The 19,276-nt window shown below is 44.1% G+C and overlaps 1 protein-coding gene and 1 long non-coding RNA gene across 3 annotated transcripts in view, besides 1 other annotated feature; one reads left to right on the top strand and one right to left on the bottom strand.

Moving 5' to 3' along the window:
* The window catches only part of LHFPL3-AS2 (LHFPL3 antisense RNA 2), a 32,018-nt gene extending 21,404 nt beyond the window's left edge, over positions 1-10,614 (top strand). The window contains exon 4 of the long non-coding RNA NR_027374.1: positions 9,178-10,614. This is a non-coding gene — a long non-coding RNA (LHFPL3 antisense RNA 2). The remainder of the gene's footprint in view (positions 1-9,177) is intronic.
* LHFPL3 (LHFPL tetraspan subfamily member 3) overlaps positions 1-19,276 on the bottom strand; it is a 579,959-nt gene that overhangs the window by 3,320 nt on the left and 557,363 nt on the right. The gene's annotated exons all lie outside the window — the stretch shown is intronic.
* Positions 7,686-7,825: an enhancer, noted in NCBI's record as "active region_26446". NCBI's record gives its function as "activates an Ori minimal core promoter by ATAC-STARR-seq in GM12878 lymphoblastoid cells {active_cell/tissue: GM12878}" and the evidence as "EXISTENCE:reporter gene assay evidence [ECO:0000049][PMID:35858748]".

Raw genomic sequence — 19,276 nt, 5'->3', positions numbered from 1 at the left:
GCTCACACTTGTAATCCCAGCATTTTGGGAAGCTGAGGCGGGAGGATCTTTTGAGCTCAGAAGTTTGAGATCAGCTTGTAGTCATCATAGTGAAACCCCATCTCTACAAAACATACAAAAATTAGCCGAGTGTGGTGGTGCGCCTGTAGTCCCAGCTACTCAAGGGGCTGACGTGGGAGGATCGCTTGAGCCCAGGAGGTCGAGGTTGTGGTGAGCAAAGATCGCACCACTGCACTCCAGCCTGGGTGACAGAGTAAGACCCTCCCTGTCACACACAAAAAATTTTGTTTCTTTTGGATGAATTCTCAGGGGATAATTACTTTTCCTTTTCTCCAATAGATTAGGGACTGATCCTGTATCAATACAGCTAGACCTCAAACAGTATGATTAACCTTATTCTTTGAATGATTTTCATAGGTTTTTGTCACTGTGAACCAGGGGTTAAGGGTATCTTATATATTGGGAAGTTGGGTAAATACAGCTAGCTGGTCACGGTGTGCCATATTTGGGCCAAAAGGAAACAGCCTGTTAGGCTTTACATCACAGAGCACTTTATTTTTTATTTATTTGTTTTTATTTTTATTTACTTTTGAGATGGAGTCTCACTCTGTCACCCAGGCCAGAGTGCAGTGGCATGATCTTGGTTCACTGCAACCTCTGCCTCCCAGGTTCAAGCGATTCTCCTGCCTCAGCCTCCCCAGTAGCTGGGATTACAGTCATGTGCCACCACACCTGGCTGATTTTTGTGTTTTTAGTAGAGACAGGGTTTTGCCATGTTGGCCAGGCTGGTCTTGAACTCCTGACCTCAAGTGATCCACCTGCCTCGGCCTCCCAAAGTGTTGGGATTATAGGCATGAGCCACTGTGCCCAGCCGAGGTTTTGCGTCACAGAGCCCTTTAAAACACAAGATAAGATATGGTTTCTGAATGTGTGCTAGAAAATCCTCTGGATCATTCTGTTGTTGTTTTTGGTATGTTCCCCCTTGTTTTTCAACACACTTAAAAAAATCGTATCCACATTATGATCTTAATGAACTTCTCTCAGCAAGAGAACTCACGGTTACTTTAATATACCCAGACTACACAGAGGATAATTGAAATATGATCATGTCATAATGATGATTAGTCTATAATGATTATCTGAGATTGAGTCATGCTGGCAGAAGCCCTACGGAAAGGAATACTTTCTTTAGATATTATTAAAAGCAAAACAATCAACCACTGTGGAAAGCAGTTTGGAAATTTCTCCAACAACTTAAAACAGAACTATCATTCAACCCAGCAATCCCATTAGTGGCTATATGCCCAAAGGAAAATAAATCCTTCTACCAAAAAGACACATGCACTCATATGTTCGTTGCAGCACTATTAACAATAGGAAAGACATGGGATCCACCTAGGGGCCCATTAGTAGTGGACTGGATAAAGAAAATGTGGTACATATACACCATGGAATACTATGTGGCCATAAAAAATTGGCTGGGCATTGTGGCTCATGCCTGCAATCCCAGCACTTTGGGAGGCCAAGGTGGGCAGATCACTTGAGGTCAGGAGTTCGAGACCAGCCTGGTCAATATGGCGAAAACCCATCTCTACTAAAAATACAAAAATTAGCTAGGCATGGTGGCAGGCACCTGTAGTCTCAAGCTACTTGGGAGGCTGAGGCAGGAGAACCACTTGAACCCGGGAGGCAGAGGTTGCAGTGAGCTGAGATCACACCACTGCACTCCAGCCTGGGTGACAGAGCAAGACGCTGTCTCAAAAAAAAAAAAAAAAAAAAGTATAACTAGAAGGATGAATAGGGAGACCACAGAGGGCCATCTATGTGTGTGTGGGGCAGGGGAAAACGGGGTCAGGAGGGTAGTCCTCATTTTCTTGAGGTTCTCAAGTAAGTACACTCCTAATTTCATAATAGAAAAGCCTGCTTTGGTGTGAATCATTTGTTGGCATCCATGAACCAGAGACTCCCTGTTTCTCTCTCCTTGGTGCTAAGCTGCCTGGTTTGACTTTATGACATCACAGGATGAAGGAAAAGTAAGATTGCCAAGAAGGAAGTACATGTATCTAAGGCTGCATCCCAGTCAGGGTAAGACCTGTTCTCAGTGGGCTGGGAAGGGAGCAGTGAGTGTTGGAAGGACTTTAGATCAGACCCCAGGGTAGTGACACCCATACCTGCGGGAGGTAGAGGGGAGAAGGAAGCCTCCGGCAGGGCAGATGTCTCCCTGGGAAGATCCTCAGCTCTCTTACAGGAAGGTTCCGGGAACATTTGCGGCCAGTTTCACAAAACTTTCTCTTTCTCCTTCATCATCTGGGCCCACAGCCTGGGGCCTGACCCTAACAGGTCATTCATCAACAACCCTTCTTGAATCTGCTCTGGTCTTGGGTCACCCGTGGCCTTCATATGGCCAAATCCCTCATTAGATCCCTCGCTGTAACTTCACTCTTTTTGTTTTTCTTGAGACAGAATCTCACTCTGTTGCCCATGCTGGAGTGCAGTGGCGTGATCTCGGCTCACTGTAACCTCCGCCTCCCTGGTTCAAGCGATTCTCCTGCCTAAGCTTCCCGAGTAGCTGTGATTACAGGTATGCGCCACCATGCCCAGCTAATTTTTTATTTTTAGTACAGATGGGGTTTCACCATGTTGGCCAGGCTGGTCTCGAACTCCTGAGCTCAGGTGATCCACCCACCTCGGCCTCCCAAAGTGCTGGGATTATAGGAGTGAGCCACCGCACCCGGCCTAATCTCACTATTGATTAGTCAGTCCTTCATTCCTAAAGCTCTCTTCTTCTTCTCCCTCCTCCCCCTCCTCCTCCTCCTCCTTCTCCTCTCCCTCCTCCTCTTCCTCCTCTTCTTTTTGAGACAGGGTCTTGCTCTGTGACTCAGGCTTCTTGACTACAGCGGCACAATCATAGCTCACTGTGGCCTCTACCACCTCCAGGCTCAAATGATCCTCCCACCTCAGCCTCCCACATAACTAGGACCACAGGCACGCGTTACCATGCCCAGCTAATTTAAAATTTTTTTTTATAGAGATGGGGTCTCATTATGTTTCCCAGGCTGGTTTCAAACTCCCGGACTCAAGTGATCCTCCCACCTTGGTCTCCTGAAGTATTGGGATTACAGGCATGAGCCACTGCACCTGGCCATTAAAGGTTTCTTCTTTGTTGAGTATTGTCAACTCTGGGACTGTACTTCTGACCCACAGTATCTGTGGTGGGCAGGGAGCTGAGAAGTAAGTGGGAAAATGAAAGTGTGAAGCCAGTGAGCCAGGCCTGGAATAGGGTGAGGCAAGTGAGTGTCTAGGGTATAAAATTTAAGGAGCTCACTTGCAGGGTCATGCAAGTGTGAGGTGAGTGCTTCTTTAAAACTTGCAGGGCCAGTCGTGGTGGCTCATGCTTGTAATCCCAGCACTTCGGGAGGCTAAGGTGGCAGGATTGCTTGACCCAGGAGTTCAAGACCAGCCTGGGCAACATAAGGAGATGCTGTGTCTACAGAAAATAAAAAAAAATTAGCCAGGTGTGATGGTGCACACCAGTGGTCCCAGCTATGTGGGAGGTTTAGGTGGGAGGATCGTTTGAGACCAGGAGGTCGAGGCTGCAGTGAGCCATGAACGCACCACTGCACTCCAGACTGGATGACAGAGCAAGACTGTCTCAAAAAACAAGCAAACAAACAAAAAAACAAAAAAGCTTGCCCCCTAGGTACCTAGCTTGCCTCACCCTAATCCCAGCCTTGCCCATGAGTGCATGCTGCTCATCAGAAGGCGTGCTGGGAATGTTTGCTTGGATTTGAGTTACTTAGACACTGCGACCAGAGCATATTTTTTCTTCCTACTGCATGACACCACCACGCAACAGAAACCCCAGGGCATGCAGAAGTTCTGCAGACTCTTAGGCTGAATAATAATAACCAGCTGTGATCAGAACACAACCACTCCCCACAGAATATCAGGAAAACACTTTGTTGGGGGAGTAAAATTAGAATGTTATTACAACTACTTAGATAGTATGCACATGAAGAGTTTTCCACCTGAAGGCTTGGCAAGGACTAGCTCTTCAAACAGATTTGTAAAGAGAGTAAGTGGAAGGAAATAAAAGTCAGAATTTTCCTCTCCAGATGTGGCCATCACTCCTTCAGTCTTAAGACCGTGAGACACGAGGACAATTTGCAGAATTTGGTGGAAGCATCAGTGTGGTGTAATTGCCACCTTGTGAAACATTCTGCTCTTTTAAAAACTTGGCTAACATTTCCCATGCACCATGGATGTTGCCTATCAGGGGAGGTAATTTAAAATATGTCACATTCTCCCAGGTTTGTACAGAGCAGGAATGAATAAATAAGTCATTCAATGCTGCTTTGGATCTTTGTTCAGTCAGATTTGTCCTTGTAACATGTCATGGGCTCGGAGTTGCCCATGTTACATTTCCAAAGGGCTCTTTGCAAATCCTTTTCAAAGCTGTCATTTGAATCACTGCTCATGAGTGCAGCATTTATAATGGCCCTATTGTCCAGGCTATCTAAATGCTACTTGGCTGAATTTTCCACGTGTTTACAGATGTTGAAATGTCTCCTGTGGTTGGTTTCTGCTCATTGTTCCTGTCTGACCTTTTTAATTAGGGTCTGGAGCCCCCACAGTCAGGAGAGCTGACTCCTCCTGTCTCCCTTTGGATCTGACATACCGATTTCAACACAGGAGACGATGGAGGATAATTACTAAAATTATTCTAGCTACTTATGCAGATCTTCGGTGAGAAGGGGCAGAAAATGGCCTAAGAGTCAGGCCTTGATAATTCTGTGCTATTTCTGTATGCAGTGGACAATGAGACTTTGACACAAGGCACAACACTTTCTCATGTGTTTTTTTCTTTGGAAAGTAAGTATTTCACAAGAAGGGATTTCAATTAACTCATGAACGTCTCTTTCTCTTCTTCCACTCATTCCCCTTAAGGAACACTGTGAAATATATTAAAAGCAAGAAAACAGGCACAATTACTTGGCAGGCCTTACCCAGGCACATTGAAAATAGAATGTTGCTGCTGATTTATAAATCCTAATAATATTAACTGTCCAGTTTTGGCATGAAGCCATTCCATATTTTACATAGGTTGAAAGGCTTTTACTATTGAAGCCCAGAAGACAGGTCCATGGCAGGGTGACAGTGTAGCATCCTTGACTCTTAGTGCATTTGATGAGAACTAATAAATTGGCGGCCAGGCACGGCGGTGGCTCACGCCTGTAATCCCAGCACTTTGGGAGGCCAAGGCAGGCAAATCACCTGAGGTCAGGAGTTCGAAACCAGCGTGTCCAACATGGTAAAACCCTGTCTTTACTAAAAATACAAAAATTAGCCAGGTATGGTGGCAGGTGCTTGTAATCCCAGCTACTTGGGAGGCTGAGGCAGGATAATCACTTGAACCCAGGAGGCAGAGGTTGCAGTGAGTTGAGATCACGCCACTGCACTCCAACCTGGGTGACAGAGTAAGACTCCATCTAAAAAAAAGAATTAATAAATTAGGGGGTGATCTTAATGTTCTGTCCCTACTTTAGTGACTGACATGCACTTTCCTGAAAGTGCTGTCCTTTGAAATACTTTGAAAGTGTTGGCTTTTCAAAATAATAAATTCATCTCTGTTCATTGTCATTTAATATTGAGCTTCATACATGTTCCTTTAAGCTTCCTCTCCTTCCTGTGTGGGAAAGACTACCAGCTTCGTATCATTTTCCCGTTTCTTGATTCTGTCCTTACTTCCCTTCCTGCCAGAGGTACTCTCTCTCTCTCAGCGAGGTCTGTCCCACAGGTGTTCTTTCTCCAAATATCATCTTGAAGTCAATTGGCCTTCCTTGATAATATGTTTCCTGATTTTCTCGGCGGCATATAGTTCAGTGGTTAAATGTGTGTGTTCAGGAGCCATTCTCCCTGGCTTTCAACCCTAATTCAACAACTTACCAGCTGGGTAACTCTAGAGAAGATGTTTTACATATCTGTGCTTCAATTTCCCCATTCAATAGGCTGGGGTACTTCCTTTCCAACCTGTCATGAAGATTGAAATGATGCTTATAAGGTGTTTATAACAGAAAGTATAAACCTGGCACATAGAAAGAGCTCAATAAATATTGACAGTATATATATATATATATTAGAGATGGGGTCTCACTCGGTCACCAAGGCTGGAATGCAGTGGCAAAATCACAGCTCGCTGCAGCCTTGACTTTCTGGGCTCAAGCGATCTTCCCACCTCAGCCCCGTAAGTAGCTGGGACTACAGGCGCATACCACCATGCCTGGCTAATTTTTGTAGAGACAGAGTTTTGTTGTCAAGGCTGGTCTCGAACTCCTGGGCTCAAGCGATCCGCCTGCCTCAGCCTCCCGAAGTGCTGAGATTATAGGCATGAGCCATCATGCCTAGCCAATAATTTTTTTTTAGACACAGTGTCTCATGCTGTCACTGAAGCTGGAGTGTAGTGTCAAGATGACAGCCCGCTGCAGCCTCAAACTTCTGAGCTCAAGCAGTTCTCCCACCTCAGCCTCCCGGAGTGCTGGGATTACAGGCATGAACCACCGCGCCTGGCCCTTTCCAGCTTCGTGGCCCATAAATGTCTTTCTGAAGTAACTGGAAGCCATATCTTTGAAATGTAAACATCAGAGGAGATTGTGCCCCTCTCTCCCAGTTTCTGAGTGAGGGCAGGAGCCTAACTTTGGGAGGTGCCTTGCTTCCAGTTGTAAAACTACCTGTCATAAAGACAAGAGAAGTTTATTTTCCCTTTGTATAAAACCAATTAATTAACAGATAATCACCCTCAATTACCAGGTGAATTTAGGATGCACTATATGTAATAAATGGTGCTGCCCAGTCCTCTTACTTGAGGACTAGTTACTGTGTGTCTTGAGAACTTTTATGTAATGGGTGGTACTGGCTATATAAAAGGGTGAGATTTCGGCTGGGCACAGTGGCTTACACTTGTAATCTCAGCACTTTGGGAGGCTGAGGCGGGCAGATCACCTGAGGTCAGGAGTTCGAGACCAGCCTGGCCAACTGTTGAAACCCTGTCTCTAATAAATACAAAAATTAGCGGGGTGTGGTGGTGGGTGCCTGTAATCCCAGCTACTAGGGAGGCTGAGGCAGGAGAATCACTTGAGCCTGGGAGGTGGAGGTTGCAGTGAGCCGAGATGGTGCCACTGTACTCCAGCCTGGGCAACAGAGTGAGACTCTGTATCAAAAAAAAAAAAAAAAAAAAAGGGGTGACATTTCTTTCTGTCAGCAGTCTCTTAGCAAATTGCCTGTGATGTGGATCCCATTCTGGTTTAATTCTTATTCAGTAATACACCTTTTCTTTTTCTACTACCTTTATGGAAAGGTTTTCTGGGTTGGGAGAAGATGTTGTCATTAATTATATTACCTGAACAAAGTATATTGATATATCTGTGTTTGTGCATCTAATTGCTTTATTTAATGCTTTATTTAATCCTCTTTTAGCAAGGAATTTACAATAGAAAGGATTGTCTTTTGCAAATTTCTCAGAAAGCACTAGAATCAGTGTGTTTAATAAGTAGATTACTAACAATTATCTATAAAAACCCAAGTGATGTTCCCCTTTCTTCTAAATACTCTGTAAGTTTCAGTGATATTGTGGTAAGGTACAGCTCTTTAAAACCTTAAGTGCATTCTCTCCTCCAGGAAGCTGTGAGGCTTTCGTTTCTCAGCATGTGAACCTATGGTCTTAGTGAATCTTTAGCAGGCAGAGAGTTCAGGATCATGAAGTTTTACATGCCTTTGTTACCACAAATGTAATAGTCCTGGTCCTAATTATCCTTATGGGTGTTTATTGTAATGAAATAAGACATTTGAGTATGATGTATGCTTCCTCTCTAGACCAAAGGGAAGCGGACTGCAGAGTCCAGAAGGCAATTTATACCCAAGATCTAATGAACACACACACATAAGCACACACACCCACGGCCCTGTGAGAGAAGTAACCAAGAATTAAGGCATTTAGTAGCTGTGCAATACATCACCAGCTGGCTGACACTGGTTAGCCACAAATGACGTGGCAGTCATGGAAAGCCAGAGACTGCTAAATAGAATTTTAGAATTTTGGGGCTTTCTAAAATGCAGAAATAAATAGATTGTTCTTCAGCTTAAAACTTTTTTTTTTTTTTGAGATGGAGTCTCACTCTGTCACCTGGGCTGGAGTGCAGTGGTGCAATCTTGGCTCATTGCAATCTCTGCCTCCCGTGTTCAACTGATTCTCCTGCCTCAGCCTCCCAAGTAGCTGGGACTACAGGTGTGCGCCACCATGCCCAGCAAATTTTTGTATTTGTAGTAGAGATGGGGTTTCATCATGTTGGCCAGGCTGGTCTTGAACTCCTGACCTCAAGTGATCCACCCGCCTTGGCCTCCCAAAGTACTGGGATTACAGGCATGAGCCACCGAGCCCAGCCCAGCTTAAAACTTTTTAGCAGTGATACCTTCTACTGAATATGCATAACTGCCTAGCACAGCTAATGAGGCCTCCTGTGGCCTCTCCCTGCTCCAGCCCCTCCTCTGGGGTTTCCCACCTCAGACTGCACTCCAGCACCCTGGATGTGTTCTACCTCTGGGCCTTTGCTCCACCTCTGGGCCTTTGCTCCTTTTGCTGGAAAAGCCCTTCCTCCAGTTTTCTAACTGGTGAACACCTGTTCATGTTTCACATTTCATCATTTCATCTTAGGTTGCTTCCCTGGGAGCCACTTCCTGAACTGTTCTTATCTTTTTTGGGTTTCTGTTTTGCCCCAGTCATCCGTTAATGGAGCTCACCTTTTGGACAGTGAGCTCCTCAAGTGCAAGGGCCACTTCACCCATCCAAGTGGTAACTGGGCCTGACCCTGCTTAGCTTCTGAGATCAGGCAAGATTGGGCATGTTCAGGTGGGTATGGCTGCAGACAACGGGCATTTTTGAGAAGCCACAGTGTCCCTAGCACCCAGAGGAAAGCCTGGCACATAGTTGCTGCTCAACAACCCCTGGTGTTTACTGAAAGGAGCCTTAGGCTGTGGACTGAATTATGTCTCCCAAAGTGTAAATATTGAAGCCCTAACCCCCAATACGACTGTATTTGGAGATAGCGCCTTTAAGAGGACAATTAAGATAAAATGAGATCTTCAGGGTGGGGCCCTAATCCAATATGACTGATCTCTTTATAGGAGGAAGAAATACCAGGTGCGCATGCTCCAAGAAAAAGCCATCTGAGGACGCGGCAAGAAGGCCGCCATCTACAAGCCAAGGAGAGGGGCCTCAGGAGAAATCGAACCTGTCACACCTTGATCTTGGACTTCCAGCCTTCAGAACTGTGAGAAAGTAAATTTCTGTGTTCAAGCTACCAGGTCTGTGGGATTTTTTATGGCAGCCCTAGCAGACTAAGACAGGCATCAATGGTTCCAATGTTTTCATTTTTTTTCCGGTAAGCAGACCGAAGCCCAGAGAGATGAAGCAATTTGCCCAAAGTCACATACCAAGTTAACTGAAGAGTTGGGGTTAGAATCCAGCTCTTGTGACTTCTCTCTTTTCAGTTTCCCTTCCCACTCCCCCCACTGAAAAGCTTTTGAGTGACTCTTTTAGAAATCCCGGTTCTGTATATGAAGCAGAATTGAGCACAGCTGCTCTAATGAAGGGCTCAGAGCTCCCAGGCTTTTCTCTCTCCCCTGCCCCTTTTCCCTGTTGCACCTCTGCAGTGTCCTGAGGGTTGATGGAATCTAGTTTGAAAGCTATTGCTCTACCTCACTGCCTCCTGAATGCAATGTCACAAATTTTCCCAACTTGCCATTTCTCTCACACTGACATAAAGCATTAGAAACCTGTTGTGAAGTAGGAAAGCTAACTGGGTCAGTAGCTGATAAGATAATCTGGCCTAGGGGATAGATGATTAGGATTTCAGAGAAGGAAAGGTCACCCAATTGATTTGACTCTGTCCTGGGGCGATGATATGGTGAAGATTTCTACAGATGCAGCAGAAACATCCGGAAACCAGGTGTGTCCCAGCTCTGGTCTGGGAACCATTTCATAAATTGGCAAATATCCAGGATATACACATGGCTAATTCTGAGGTGTACTGAAGTTTCAATAAAGCTACTTTGGTAATGACTAGGAGAAGAAAATCCTATGGCTGGACTTCATTAATGTTGTATGGCCAAGGACAGTGTTTCTCTAATTATGGCCTGTGAACCTCCCTGGATCTCGATCACCTGCATATTTGGGAATATGCAGGTTCCAGGGTCCCACCTGAAACTACAGAATCAGTATTGAGATCCCAGGTGATTCTCATGTACACTCAAGTGTAAGATTATTAGCACCTGGACTTTGGAAGCAGCCAGATAAAAGTTTGGATCCTGGGTTGGCTACTTCCTAGATGTGGCCAAGTCATTTTACTTGCCATGCTTTTGCTTTTCTTGTCTGTAAAGTGGACATGATACCTATTTTACAGGGTGGTTTTGAGGAATAAGGTCAGCATTAAACATTTATCCTCTTTAGGGAGACAGAGAGAGGAGATGAAATAGAGTAGAATTGAGAAAAGCAGTTTCTTAGACCTCCCTGTGAAGTTTTTCTTATTTCAACAAATAATAAAATAAAAAATTCATACACTTTCTTAGTGCTTGTTTGGACTTAAGAATTTAAAAATAACTTGAGAGTTTTATAGGCATCAAGGATGATGTCTGAGTGCTGGAAATACTTGACCTTTGGCTGGAAGGTGGAGTGAAGGTGCCAGCGGACTGAACCCTGGGAGACTGTCTTCTGTTTTATGAATGTGGTCATGCTCTGAGTTAAATGATGTCCCTGGTAAGGACATCTCCCAGAAAAGCTTAGAAATCAGCTGTAATCCTTGTTCCCTGCAAGACCCTTGACTTGGATGTTAAGAGTTCCCTATAATGATAATAGCTACCTTTACTGAGCACTACTTGTTAGCCAGGCATTGTGCTAAGTGCTTTATGTGCATTATGTTATGCAATCCTGCAAATACCGTTACGGGGCAGGTAATATTATTAATGCTATTTTAACAATGACAAAAGTAACTCACTGATTAGGACTCTGAGTAGTATCCATACCACTGTAAGGATAACAAAGAGCAAAGGCAGATTAGGTCCGGCTCTGCTGTTTGTTGGGTGTTTTACTTAGATTTAACCCCTAGACAAGTCTGAGTCTTGATATGGTCTTGCCTATTACTCTACTTCTTTCTCTGCTGTGCACAGATGGAGACTGGCATCTGTATTAATACCAGGTTGTGTGCTTAAAGTCCAATGAATAGCATTTTTTTTTTTTTTTGAGATGGAGTCTCATTCTGTTGCCCCGGCTGGAGTGCAGTGGTGCGATCTCTGCTCACTGCAACCTCCGCCTCCCAGGTTCAAGCAATTCTCCCACGTCAGCCTCCTGAGTAGCTGGGATTACAGGGGTATGCCACCATGCCTGGCTAATTTTTGCATTTTTAGTAGAGATGGGGTTTCACCATGTTGGCTAGGCTGGTCTCGAACTCCTGACCTCAGGCGATCCACCTGCCTTGGTCTCCCAAAGAGCTGGGATTACAGGCGTGAGCCACTGCACTGAGCCCAGTGAATAGCATTTAATAAATGTTTGTAAATGCTCTGAATGTACTATGATAATACAACAAAGTTGTACACATAAGATTATCATAGCAAAAAATGGAGAGTAACCTTGGTTACTTCTATATAGTTATTTAATTTTAATTTTTTTTTTTGAGATGGAGCCTTGCTCTGTCACCCAGGCTGGAGTATAGTGGCGTGATCTTGGCTCACTGCAACCTCCACCTCCTAGCCTCCTAGGTTCAAGCGATTCTCCTGCTTCAGCCTCCTGAGTAGCTGGGACTACAGATATATACTACCATGCCCCTTTAATTTTTGTATTTTTGGTAGAGATGAAGTTTCACCATTTTGGCCAGGCTGGTCTTGAACTCCTGACCTCAAGTGATCAGCTCACGTCTGCCTCCCAAAGTGCTGGGATTACAGGTGTCAGCCACCGTGCCAGGCCAATTTTTTTTTTTTTTTAGAGACAGAGTCTTGCCTTGTCAGCCAGGTTGGAGTGTAGTGGTATGATCACAGCTTATTGCAACCTCGAACTCTTGGGCTCAAGTGATCCTCCAGCCTCAGCCTCCCGAGTAGCTATGGCTACAGGTGCATACAATCAAATGCCTGGCTAATTAAAAACATTTTTTTTTCTGTAGAGATAGTTTCTCGCTATGTTGTCCAGGCTGGTCTTGAAATCCTGGCCTCAAGCAATCCTCCTGCTTCAGCGTGGGATTACAAGCATGAGCCACTGTGCCCAGCCTATACAGCCATTTAAAATGATTGTATAGCTCTATAATAAATGAATAACATACATACCATAATAAAAGAATAAAGCAGGATATGAAGTAGCATGATTAATGGAATCTCATTTTTGAAAATCAAATATGTTTATATGTACATAGAAAAAATATGGAAGGATCTACCCCATAATGTTAGTTGAGCTCTGAATGGTAGATTTAGGATTTTTTTTTTTTTTTTTTTTTTTTGAGACAGTCTCACTCTGTCACCCAGGCTGGAGTGCAGTGGCGTGGTCTCAGCTCACTGCAACCTCTGCCTCCCGGGTTCAGGTGATTCTCTTGCCTCAGCCTCTGGAATAGCTGGGATTACAGGTGCCCGCCACCACACCTGGCTAATTTTTGTATTTTTAGTAGAGACGGGGTTTCTCTATGTTGGCCAGGCTGGTTTTGAACGGCTGACCTTGTGATCCGCCTGCCTCAGTTTCCCAAAGTGCTAGGATTACAGGTGTGAGCCACCATGCCCTACGATTTAGGATGTTTTTTGACTCTGAAAAAGAAAAATTGTCTGATTTTTCTTTTTCTGTTTTTATTTTTACAGTGAGCTGAACACACATCATTTTTATAACTGGGAAAAATGTGCCACTATTATTTTGAAAATTAAATTCCTTGGAAATAAAAAGCTAAACATTCTACCATCTTCCATGTTATTGTGGGTTTGTATTTGCTTCTCTAAGAGAGTGATTAGGAGATGCTCTGAAGACTCTCAGCACACCAAAAGGATAGCTATTCTAAACATTCCTTTTAGCACCTTCACATACATTCAATGCATTCCTCAATGTATCACCCAATGCATTCTTGTTGAATAAGTGAATGAGCATTGAGAAGAAAATCTGTGATCAATATGCAAAGTGTTGCAAAAGAAGAACACTTTCATAAGGATGAGAAGTCATAACAATAGAAAATAATAACTTTCAATTTCTTTTTCTTAGATTCCTGGTAGCTGGATTAATTTGTGTTCAAAGTGATTCACTGAGTCTAGTGAGATCCTAGAACAAGGTTGGGGCTGTTTAAGTCACTCTAAGAGCTCCCTCCAGACATTTCTGTCAGCCTGTCTACACCATATCTCTTTTCATTATTCTTGTTGCCTTTGGTGGCTGTCACAGACAGGAGAGCCAAATAATGCTCCTAGCAGCACATATCATTTCTGCTTTGTCCATCTCTTGCTCACTATAATAGGACATTCTTCTTCCACAGATAGAACAGATTTCTGGTTCTTAGAAAGGCTTCCCAACCTCTGCCCAGGCGTTCATTTTATTTGTGATTCAGAGAATGGCTCTTGGCCAACACAAGAGAATGCCAATTCAGGGACTACTGTGGTTTGAATGTCCCCTCTGAAACTCATGTTGAAATCTAATTGCCATTGTAATAGTATTAACAGTGGGACCTTTAAAAGGTGCTTAGGTCATGAGGGGTCATGATGGATTAATGCTGTTGTCACTGGGAGTGGGGTCCCAATAAAGGGATGAAATTTGGCCTGATTTCCTGTCTCACACATGATAAAGGGATGATATTCAGCCTGCTTTCCAGTCTCGCACGCCTGCTTGCCCTTCCGCCATGTTATGATGCAGCCAGAAGGCCCTCACCAGAAGCAGCCCCTCAGCCTTGGACTTCCCAGCTTCCAGAACTGTAAGAAATACATTTATGGGAGTCTCTCTGAATCTGCTGTGATTGTGGGGGCTGCCTGAAAAAGAGAATTCAAACAAAACAAATTTTTTTTTTATGGTATTCTGTTATAGCAACACAAAACAGAGTAAGAAACCATTCAAAACAGACCCTTAATTTGGCAACTAGATGTCTCTGATATGAAAGTTGGGGGTAAGGCACCCAGATCTGCAGAAAGGCTCAAAAGATTTGTCCTCATAGCTGCAACAGTTGTGTCATAATGGTAGAAACAGAAATTCTCTACTATGGGAGATTAAAAAGAAATGAAACCTTCAGTGACCACCTACTCTGTTGCAGGCACGAGGCTGGGGAGCTGGGGCGCTGCTGGTGGGCTTCATGGTGCTGTGGTTCTGTCTATTCTCATCAGCCTGTGAGGCAAGAAAGTATTGGCAGCACCTCACAGGCCTTGTCCTCTTCATAGCCCCCTCCCGGGAGCCACATCAGTCTCCATTTCAGGTAAAAAAATGAATGAACAAATCACAAAGATGGTCCTCACTGGCCACCTGAGCCTGGCGTGTCATCCACAGAAGAGCCTGGCTTCCCCGCCATTTCTCCCATGGCCTCTGGCCTGAAATAGTTTTCTTCTTGTTAGCGGTTGATCTCAGCTCTGGGCAATGAGACCTTCACCCGGCCAGTGTTCAGAATCCACTGAACGGACTGAGGGGGAAGGACTGACAATCAGTTCTAAAGGGACAAACACACAGCCAATTTAGCTGCTTAGTTCCAGACCCTGCATGTAAACAGTAAGCTAGGAGCTCTGAGGCAAGTCTACTGCTCAAGGCAGCAACTGGGTATTTTCCCCTGAGCTCCACGGGGCGTTGTAATGCGGGGGAGGAAGGGGATGGAGCAAAGATTAAGATGCACAGGACCAGTAAGGCCTCCTGTCTGCTCTGCAGGTATAGAGCAGGAGAATCTCCCAACCACTTGTTTTTTTAGAGACAGGATTTCACTTTGTTGACCAGGTGAGTGAAGTGGCACAATCATAGTTCACTGCAGCCTTAAAATCCTGGGCTCAAGGGACCCTCCCAACTCAGGCTCTTGAGTAGCTAGACTATAAGTGAGTGCCATGAAGCCTGGCTAATTTGTTATTTTTATTTTTTGAAGGGAAGAGGGTCTCACTATGTAGCCAGGCTGGTCTCAAACTCCTGGCCTCAAGTAATCCTCCTGCCTCGATCTCACAAACTTCTGGGATTACTGGCACAAGCCACCAAGCCTGCCAGATGTTTCCTTATCCTAAGAAGCGAATGAGAAGAGGAGAGAAGGAAAGATCTCTAGGAAATATAATTAGGACTGCTCTTTAATTAAAAAAACTGATTGAACATGTATAATTTTGAGATGGTATAATATAGCAGGCAGAGTGTAGCAGCTTGAACTTGAAAATTTCTACTTCATCAAGGTAATATGTACATTGATTTTAAATGTTTCCATTAATTTATCCACTGAAATTCTTCATATTTCCAAGATTTCAGTTCTCGTTGAAATCTTTCCAGAGTTCTCCTGTTAAACTTTGTTCATATAAAGATGACTTTATGGGAGAATATCCATTCTTAGAAAATGCTCTTTGGAAAAGCCAATACTTTCCTTGTTTTTGTTTCTGAGACAGAGTCTTGCTCTGTCACCCAGGCTGGAGTGCAGTGGTGTCATCTTGGCTCACTGCAACCTCTGCCTCCCAGGTTCAAGCGATTCTCCCACTTCAGCCTCTTGAGTAGCCAGGACTACAGGCTTGTGACACCACACCTGGCTAATTTTTGTATTTTTAGTAGAGCTGGGGTTTCACCTTGTTGGCCAGGCTGGTTTTGAACTCCTGACCTCAAGTGATCCACCTGCCTCGGCCTCCCAAAGTGCTGGGAGTACAGGCGTGAGCCACCACGCTCGGCCTGGAAAAGCCAATACTTGATTTTTAAAAAGTCAGACCATACAAATGATCTTATAATGAAGAGTCACCCCACTTCATCCCTTCTCATACCCGGTCTTACTCCCTGGAGACAAGCTGTTTTAATAGTTTCCAGTTTTATTGCAGTAGTTACTTCAGTAGTCTAAATACTATGTTAACATTTGTTTAATTATGCATTTATCAATTTTAGACACTATATGTTGAGTCTTCTCTAGAAAAGTGAAGATTCACCTCCGTTCCTTCTCACCTCCTTTCTCTCCCAATTTTGATTTTAAACAATGCCTTTGTGAGTTTAAATAATAGGTATACCTTTACTTCTTTTTTTTCTTCTCTTTCTGTCTTTGGTCAGATTCAACTCATCTCTCCTTGACGTGAAGCTATCATGTAACTTCTTTTCCTTCCATCTTTCTAACTGCTGACTTTCTGATGTAAGCTTGACTTTTCAAAAGTCAGTATGGGGATTTTCAGTGGATTCATTAACGGAAACAATTTGGACAGAAATCTCCCCTCTTCCTTCGCCTGGAAAACTTAGACTCATCCCAAATATTCAAGTGGCTTAAGATTTCTGCCTTCTACAGCCTACACATGATTGTCCATGCATTGTTGACACATGTGACAGTGACTCCATTGTAGAGGTATAACGTATCTACTTACAAGGAAATCTTCCTCACTGACATTGTGCATGCCTCAAGGACAAGAACCAGGCCTTACATCTCTGAATCCCCATGACCTAGCAGAATGCCTGGCACATAGTAGGACTTCAAGATCTCTTTGCTGTGGAATGTGTGTATATCTGTATTATATATCTCTTTTTAAAAGACAGGATCTCTGTCACCCTGGCAGGAGTGCAGTGGCATGATCATAGCTCAGTGCAACCTCCAACTCCTGGGTCCAAGAGACCCTCCTGCCTCAGTCTCCTGGTTAGCTGGAGCTACAGGCATGTGCCACAACACCTGGCAATTTAAATTTTTTTTGTAGAGATTGGGTCTTGCTATATTGTCCAGGCTGGTTTCCAAACTCCTGGACTCAAGTGATCCTCCTGCCTCAGCCTCCCAAAGCACTGGGATTACAAGTGTGAGCCACCATGCCTGGCCTCTATGATACATATTTACATAATTAGAATGTTTATTGTTTGAAGGGGTAAGATGTCTTAAAAATATGTCCAAACATGAAAACAAATTAATGCAGTGTCTCTAATATTGTGGTCCCCTGAGTGAGCATGTATGTATGTGTACATGTATGTGAGGTTCTTGATTTTGGAAAGAGTAGACACAGTGGCTCTGTGAAGGATCAGCCCACAGCAGATGAAGTGCCACCTGCCAGAATGAAAGGCAGAGCTGCTTTCTCCAGTCAGGTATACAAGATCTGCTTCTCTTTGTAACTTGTTCTGACTCTCAAGCTGTTGAGAGTTGTCACAAATAAAACCCCCAAACAACTCTGAAAGTCCTACCAGTAGATCTAGTCCACTCAATCTGAACCAAGATGACCTGCTTCTAAACATATTTCCAGGATTTCAGCTCTCATTGAACTCTTTCCAGCATTCTTCCTTTAAGCTTTGTTCATATAAAGATGACTTCATAAGAGAACGTCCATTCTTAGAAAATGCTCTTTGCAGAAGCCAGTACTTGTAGTAGAGGCTGTCGTTTCTCTGCCACTTTCCCCTTAGGCTTTACCATTTCAGTGCCCACTGGGCCAGTGTTTAACTGCCAGCCTCTGCGTCTTTTTGCTGGAGGACATTCTCTGACCAGCAGGGTCCTCTCTGCTTACCCATGGGACAGACTGGAAATGCCAGGGAATCACCATCCCTTACCTCTAGCAGTCCTCAGTCAATGACTGATGAGAATTGATTTATAAATATCACTTCCCTTGCCCCTGGAATCTCAGAAATCCCCAGTGGGATTGCACTCCAGTTACCCAAGTAATGACTTGTTTGCTAATACTCCCTTTATTGACCACCTTCCTCTCCCCATCTCACTTTTTCATCCCCTACCAGTGTCTTCTGGGATCTCTACGTACAAAAATGACCTGCACTTAAATCCCGTGTCAGCATCTATCTATGGGGGAACCCAAGCTAGGGTAATATTCTTATACAGTAAGTTAGACAGTCATCTTTCCTTCCCTTCAGTTATTTCCTACAAGGGAATCATTTAGCCTTCTGTTATTCACCGTGGAGCTAATGCTGATGTACCCCTGGTGGAAGTCAGTGCCCATCTTTGTGGGAAACATTTATAGGGGAATGGCTGCCAGTATAACAAGTTTTGGCATGAAAGGAGAAAATTCTCTGGATTTCTTTCCTTTCAGACGTGGGAAACAAGTCACAAAGCAGATCTTTCCAAATCCACAGTTAAATGTTCAGAGCAAGTGAGCCTCTTTGTGAAGCCACATTAGTCTTCCTTTCCCTTGACCCTGGGGACCCCGGGGACCCCGGGAGGACTTAAAGAGTTTTAATGTGATTTCTGGAATGTGCTTGATTTTCAGAGAGAGCAGCTTAGCCCATGGGAGACTCCATTAATATAATTTTGCAATAGAAAAGCTTCCTATTGCCTAATCTCATTAATTGTGTTTTATGTACAGTAAATGGGTAAAAGCTGAGTTTGTAATTTGGTAAATGTGAATGTATAATTTTTGAGGACTTAGAATGTGGAATAAAGAAGAATTTACTTAATATGTAAAAAGAGGCTGGGCGCAGTGGTTCATGCCTGTAATCCCAGCACTTTGGGAGGCCAAGGTGGGCAGATCACCTGAGGTCAGGAGTTCGAGACCAGCCTGGCCAACATGGCAAAACCCCGTCTCTACTAAAAATACAAAAATTAGCCAGGTGTGGTGGTGGGCGCCTGTAATCCCAACTACTCGGGAGGCTGAGGCAGGAGAATTGCTTGAACCCAGGTGGCGGAAGTTGCGGTGAACTGAGATCGCACCACTGCACTCCAGCCTGGCGATAGAGCAAGACTGTCTCAAAAAAACAAAACAAAACAAAATAAAACCAACGAAAAACTCCTAATAAGACCTCAGATGGGGCTTTGAGCCACGAGTTAGTGGCCATCCTTACCTACATTAATACTTTTTCTTCATTTTCCTCCATTCACTCATTCAGTCATTCGTTCAACAAATATGAATTGAGCATATATGATATGTTAGGCACTATTCTAGGTGTGGGGATACAGTGGCAGACAAAGGAGAGTAAGTCCTAGCTTTCATAAACCTTACAGTGAAATGTGGATATAGACAATACGCAAATAAATGTGTAATAAATACATCAGGTGGCTTTGAGTGCTACGAACAAAAATAAATTGGGGTGAGAAGCCAGCTGTTATTTTGGAGCAGGTGGTCAGGGACACTTTCCCTGAAGGAATGAGGAAACAAAATGTCTAGGGGA

This window comes from Homo sapiens, chromosome 7 (genome assembly GCF_000001405.40).
Source record: "Homo sapiens chromosome 7, GRCh38.p14 Primary Assembly".
Lineage (NCBI taxonomy): Eukaryota > Metazoa > Chordata > Mammalia > Primates > Hominidae > Homo > Homo sapiens.
Note: the sequence above shows the minus strand (reverse complement) of the source record. Positions and strands in the feature narration are given on the sequence as shown.